We start from the raw sequence: 6,355 nt of genomic DNA on the forward strand, positions 1-6,355 counted from the left end.
CCTTAGCACCAACTCATATTCTCCAGCTTCTGTCAATTCATTAAATGCTGATTTAGAATTTTATGGCAACATTTGTCTCAGATGAGAGTTACAGCAAAGCTCATCATTAAACCTTATAATGTTTAGTGCTGCCTATAATTTATGATTCCATTTTAAGATCTAATCCACCACAATAATTTGTCTTAAGACTCTGAAGATACATCATGTAGTTAGCTTTTTCTTGCAACATCATTTATAAAGACAGGATCTGACTGTATGCTTGAGGAATATATTTTATTTAGAGCACAACAATGCATTGATAGATTTGTCATAAATTATCTCAAAAGAAGAAATATCAAAAGGATAGTACACACATAATGATCTACACCATACACAATGGCATCAGGATCATTTGGGAAGGATAACAGATACTCAGGGAAAAGAAAATGAAATTGTTTTCCGACTTGAATTGTATCATTAGATGCTATGCAAAAAGTTATTCATAATCTGGCTCTAATTTACCTTTTGTTTCTAAGCCCAAATTCTGAAACTGATTCTTTCTTATTAACATTATGCCACAGTTCTACTAAGAAACTTACTGTTTCAGCCCTAGACTACAATATTTTCATAACTATCCCCCATTTTTACCTACATCCTGACTACATCCTTTACATTGTTGTTTAAGTAAGTTATTTAAGGGGAAATATGATTGCAAATTCCCAGTGCTGGTTGAAGTATTTCCGTGTTTTCCCATTCCTTATAGAATAAGGCTTCAAGCACTTTAGCAAGACAAAAAAGAACCTTTCCTAATTGGTATTATTATTCTCCTGCAAATCAAAATTTGCCATGCTGTAGAAAGTACTTATTACTCCAGTAATATTCTTCTGTGTCTTACCTCATTATTTTATGTATCTCTTTTTTCCTATGAATATTTATTGTTCAGCTACTCTGCTGAAATTGCTGTGGTCTATATTGGGTAAGAAAAATTGGACCTAGTCTCTGATACTGTGATTCTTACAGTCTGATGGGGAGACAGATATTAATTGAATAATCATATAAATACAAATAAAATCACAACTGTGACAACAGGCATAAAAGAAGGGAACACAGTGCTATTTCTTTTTTTTTTTTTTTTTCCTGAGACGGAGCGTCACTCTGTCATCCAGGCTGGAGTATAGTGGCGTGATCTCAGCTCACTGCAACCTCTGCCCTCTGAGTTCCAGCGATTCTCCTGCCTCAGCCTCTTGAGTAGCTGGGATTACAGGTGCCTGCCACCTCGCCCTGCTAATATTTTGTATATTTAGTAGATACCAGGTTTCACCATCTTGGCCAGGCTGGTCTTGAACTCCTGACCTCGTGATCCACCCGCCTCGGCCTCCCAAAGTGCTGGGATTACAGTCGTGAGCCACTGCACCTGGCGGAACATAGTGGTATTTCTATAGGCCAATTACAAAAGAGTGAGATTAAGTCAGAGAAATCAGGAAAACTTTCTTGAGATAGAATTTTAGAGCAAAGATCTAAAGGATATAGATGCTATCTTTGCAATAAGAGAATGGAAGGCCATTAAAACAGAACCTTACCTACTTCCTTCCAGGCTTTCATTGATTTACCTTTCTTCCTCATCCACTTCTCCCTTTTCACATGATTCAAAATTTACGTCTCCCAGAAAACATTCCTCACTCTTTTCTTCTCAGACTAGTTAACCCCTCTTTCTGTTACCCCCCAAATGGCACATTATTTGCATTGTATTATTTCTCTTTTATGATACTTTCAACATTATTTTCTAATTACTTTTTAATAATTATGATGCTCCAGTTGAGTGAAAGTTTTTTAGGGCCATGTCCTTCAATTTTTATCTGGAGTAGGAAATGTCAAGAATTCAATATATGCTTGTTGAAGAAAGCAAAGAAGGAAAGGAAAGCAAATAAATGGAAATGGAAAGAGACAGCAGGAGAGATGGGCAAAGAAGGAGATGGGAAAGGAGGAGAGGGAAGGAAGAGAGACCTGAAGAGGGAAGAGATAAAGAAAGAAAATACAGAGCAAGTAAAGTGTCCAAATAGACACTTTCATTTTCTACTACAAATTCACCTATTCAGTAAGATCAAGGAAAAATTTCAGCTGGGCACAGTGGCTCATGCCTGTAATACCAACACTTTGGGAGGCCAAGGAGGGTAGATGGCTTGAGGGCAAGAGCTTGAGACTATCCTGGGCAACACAGTGAGACCCTGTCTCTATTAAAAAATAAAATAAAATGGTCAAAAAAAAATATAAGTTTCTTTACAAGGTCGCTTTGATTTTTGCCAGACAAATATGTGTTCTTTCTACTTAAAACTTCAAGTATTTACACTTATTACACTTTGCTTATACTTATTACAATTTGATTATACTTTGCTCTGTTCTGCTTTATGTCTTTTTTTTTTTTTTTTGCATCTACCTAACTAAATGATTTCAAAAATAGGTTCCAGGTATTGTTATTTAATTCAATATTTTTATATTTTATATGTTTATATTTATATGTTTATATTTTTATATTTTATATGTTTAATTCATGAGATAAAATAAAATGAAAGAATGTCTCTTTCACTTTCTTCCTTTACTAATACTTTCTTCCTATATTGGCCTGCTTTATGTTGAAGTCTCTTCAACCCTTTACTGATCTCTAAAACTTTTCTCTGTATGGACAGGAATGAAGTACGAAGTGGAACAACTCTCAATGCAAAGCTTAAGGGTTGCCGGACAAGTTTTAGGGACACATTTATTAGCCAGAGTTTTTAGAAATCAGCACTATTGATGTCACTCTGGGCTGGATCATATTTTGTTGAGATAGGGACTGTCTTAAGGCTTTGTAGGATGTTCAGCAGCATCCCTTGCTTCTGCCCACTAGATGCCAGTAGCAGCCATCCCCCACCACCAGCACTCTTGACAGCCAAAACTGTCTCCAGACTTATTTGCCAAAGGTTCCCCGAGGAGCAAAATCAACCTTGACTGAGAATCACTGCTTTTAACTAACAGAGTCCCATTTCCCCAGATACGTTAAAGAATAAAAAATAAAACAACTCCATGAATTTTCTAGGGGATTTAATGTATGTGGAATGTTTACTAGTCTGGCATAAAGAAGATACTGCTTATTCTTATAATTATTATAGATCTGTTTGTTTCCTATATCTTTCCTAGTGAGGTATGATAACATATTGTCCTTTTAGACCAAATCACCATATTGGCCCAATAATGCAAGTGAATTATTTTTAAAGATTTTAAAATTCATTATTGTTGTCAGCAAGGAGTGGAGGGGATAGAAAGTGTCAAATTGGTTCCCTCAGATTTTATTCTTGTACAAGGATGATTTGAATTATTAGCCTCAAATTATAACTTTATGTGTCTGTCTATTATTTGACACATGTCTACCCATTCACACTAATAGTGAGATTTTAAAGTTGATTTTTAAATGGGTCACGGTTGACTTGATATTTCAACATGTGGGAGAGATTAGAATTATTGGCAAGCTGTATTCCCTCTTCTAGATCAAATGTTGAATAAGGCAAAAAATCCATCCAAGTTCTAATTTTAACTTCGTTCTTAAACTATTTATGGTGCAGAAACTTGTACAAAATTGCTAAAAGTAGTAGTTGGTTCCTTCTGACCACATTTGTATATAAACCCCTCAAAGAACTACTGTTAAGTATCAACTTTTAAAATGAACATTTTGCTTGCAAGGTATCTCTATTAGGAGACTCTTTTCCAATGAAGCTAAGAATTATGTAACTTTCTAATCTAAATCAACGTACCCAATCTTGTTCTACAATGTTTATTTAAAACTTCATAATAATTACTTGAAACAATATGTATCATTTTAATCTTCCTAAAATGTATGTTTCTCAGTTTCTTTGGTTAAAATCTTATATGATTTATATATGATTTATTATAGCCTCTTATTATCTTCCCTCATAAAATTAATGCAAAATTTTCCATTGTTTTAAAACACCACAGTCAGTGTTAACGACATTTGCATTGCTCTTATTAAAATATAAAGGAAACAATTTTCAAAGGATATACCTCCAATTGGAGACAAAAATAAATTAAAGAGATAATAGAAAAATGTTCCTTCAATTACTAATTATGGAATTATTTTTAATACATTAAAATGAAAAAGGTTTTATTTTTATCCCAGAAATTTAACCTTTTAATTTACATGCTAGTATTTTGCTTTCATTTATCTATATATATATAAACATTTTCAGGTTTACATTTATTTCCCTAATTTGATTTTAGACTGTTCATCTATGTAGAATATTAATTAAGATTAAGGGAAATTTGAGAAGAGATATAAATCTTAAGCTGGAAAATATTTGTGATCATTCAGATGTCATTCACTAATTAGTCAATGAAACAACAATGTTTGAAAAAAATTTTTAAATGGGTTCAGATCTATGTGATGGTTATGATTTTAACATTATCTTTGTCTCCTGTTTATAGGTCAATTGTATTTGCCACCTATTATTAAATTAAATATTCTAGAATATTTGACAGACTTTAGAAGTCCTCTACTTTAACCTTCTCTTCTGTCTTTGGTAGCTTTTAAAAGAACATGATACTTTTACAGTATGTGAAGATGCCGAGTGTATATTTCTATTTGCCCAATGTACCTTGCATATACTCCTAATCCCCTATAATTTCTACCACAGGCTTTAGTGTTGTTTCTAGTTGGATGCACAATTCTTCAAATATTAAAAACAAACATCAGAATAGACATCACAAGCTTCTTCAATTGCTTTAAATACACGAATTTGAATAATTCAGCCTGATACTTTCTTATAGAAATATTTAAATTTGTTATTATCCATTCTGTTCCTTCAAAAGGACTGTACCAGAACTGAACACAAAGTTTCAGGCATGGTTAAACATTTGAGACATTGCTGCCCTTGTTGTAAAAATTATAATTATGTTTAAGTAGCCAGCCTGAAGTTTTATTAACTTGGGGAAAAATTCAATTCAGTTAATTCAATAATATTAATAAAGTTTCTACTGTATACTAGCCACTATACTAATTGTGAAAGTTAAAAGATGAATACATTAATCTTACTATCAGGTGTATACAATATAATTAATTAATTAATATAAATAAAAGGTAATAGGGAAGTGGAGAGGAGTGATCCTTACTGGTAACTGAAGCAAAAATAAAGATTTAACATCTGATCTGAATTCTGGCAGACTAAGGGACCATTTGTTACAGAAATAAAGCACATAAAAGAAAAGAATAGCAAAAGTAAATAAGTGATTCTTGTCAAACTATACATAGTAATCTGTACGTCATAGATTTTACACATAGAATGGTAACAAAAATAATGAAATAATATTTTAGAAAGATGTATGTACATTTGGTAATTTTTGGTTGAAAGTGTAAGCAAATGCAATCTAGACTGTAGACTGGCTTAAGCAAAACAGCCAACAAAACTAACAAAAAATGTTGAGAGCCTAAGAGTTTATTTAGCTTAAGTTACCATGTCATCCAGATGTCCTCCCAAGTGTACCAGGATCGGATCTCTCTACTGCTCTCAGTTCTGCTTTCCTTTATGTAACTAGAAGCTACTTGGTGATAAGATGACTCAAGTAGTGTAGCCTTACATTTTGCAGTGTCAAGCCCAGCATGAAGGAAGTTCTTTGTCCTTCAAGTTTGAACAAAACTCCTGGAATAGACTCTCGTTTCCCCACACTGGGTTATATGCATCTCTCTGCACCTTCACAATACTTATGGGATAGGTTATTTCTTGGGTTATATCCAATCACATATCCATACTTGTAGACAGGGAAGAAATGAGAGAATACCAACATACAAATTAAAGTTTGAGTGAGATTATCCCTCCATGCTCCCCGCAAACATCAAGTTTCTGATGGCAAGGGAAGGAAGAATAGATTCTATTTGGCCAAAGTTGTAGGAGGAGAGGAAACACATGTACCATGAGATAATGTTTTTTCCAGGGATATGCCAAGATCATCTCTGTTATATGAGCAACTGCACCACCAGGTACTCTTCAGACAGTTCCCACAGGCAAGAAGCCTCTCACTACATGCAATCCCTTGACCTTGGACTTTCCACCTTCCAGAACTGTGAGAAATAAATTTTGTTTCTTATCAATTACCCAGATTCAGATGTTCCATTATAAGCAACAAAAAACAAACTAATATATCAATGTTTATCAACTTTGGCTGTACATTAGAATTATATGGTGAGGTTTAAAAAATCATGAGTTCTGGTACTTGTTCTTAGAGACATTAATCTAAATTAATAAAACCTGTACATTCAGATGTCTGAAACCTGCTTATGTGATCAACATGTGCACCAAAATTTAAGGACAAGAGGTATAAAGAACAAAAGGAA

General features: G+C 33.6%; 1 long non-coding RNA gene across 2 annotated transcripts in view; it reads left to right on the forward strand.

Moving 5' to 3' along the window:
* The window catches only part of LOC105374557 (uncharacterized), a 485,690-nt gene that overhangs the window by 237,819 nt on the left and 241,516 nt on the right, over nucleotides 1-6,355 (forward strand). The window lies entirely within an intron of this gene.

Source organism: Homo sapiens, chromosome 4 (genome assembly GCF_000001405.40).
Source record: "Homo sapiens chromosome 4, GRCh38.p14 Primary Assembly".
Classification (NCBI taxonomy): Eukaryota; Metazoa; Chordata; class Mammalia; order Primates; family Hominidae; genus Homo; species Homo sapiens.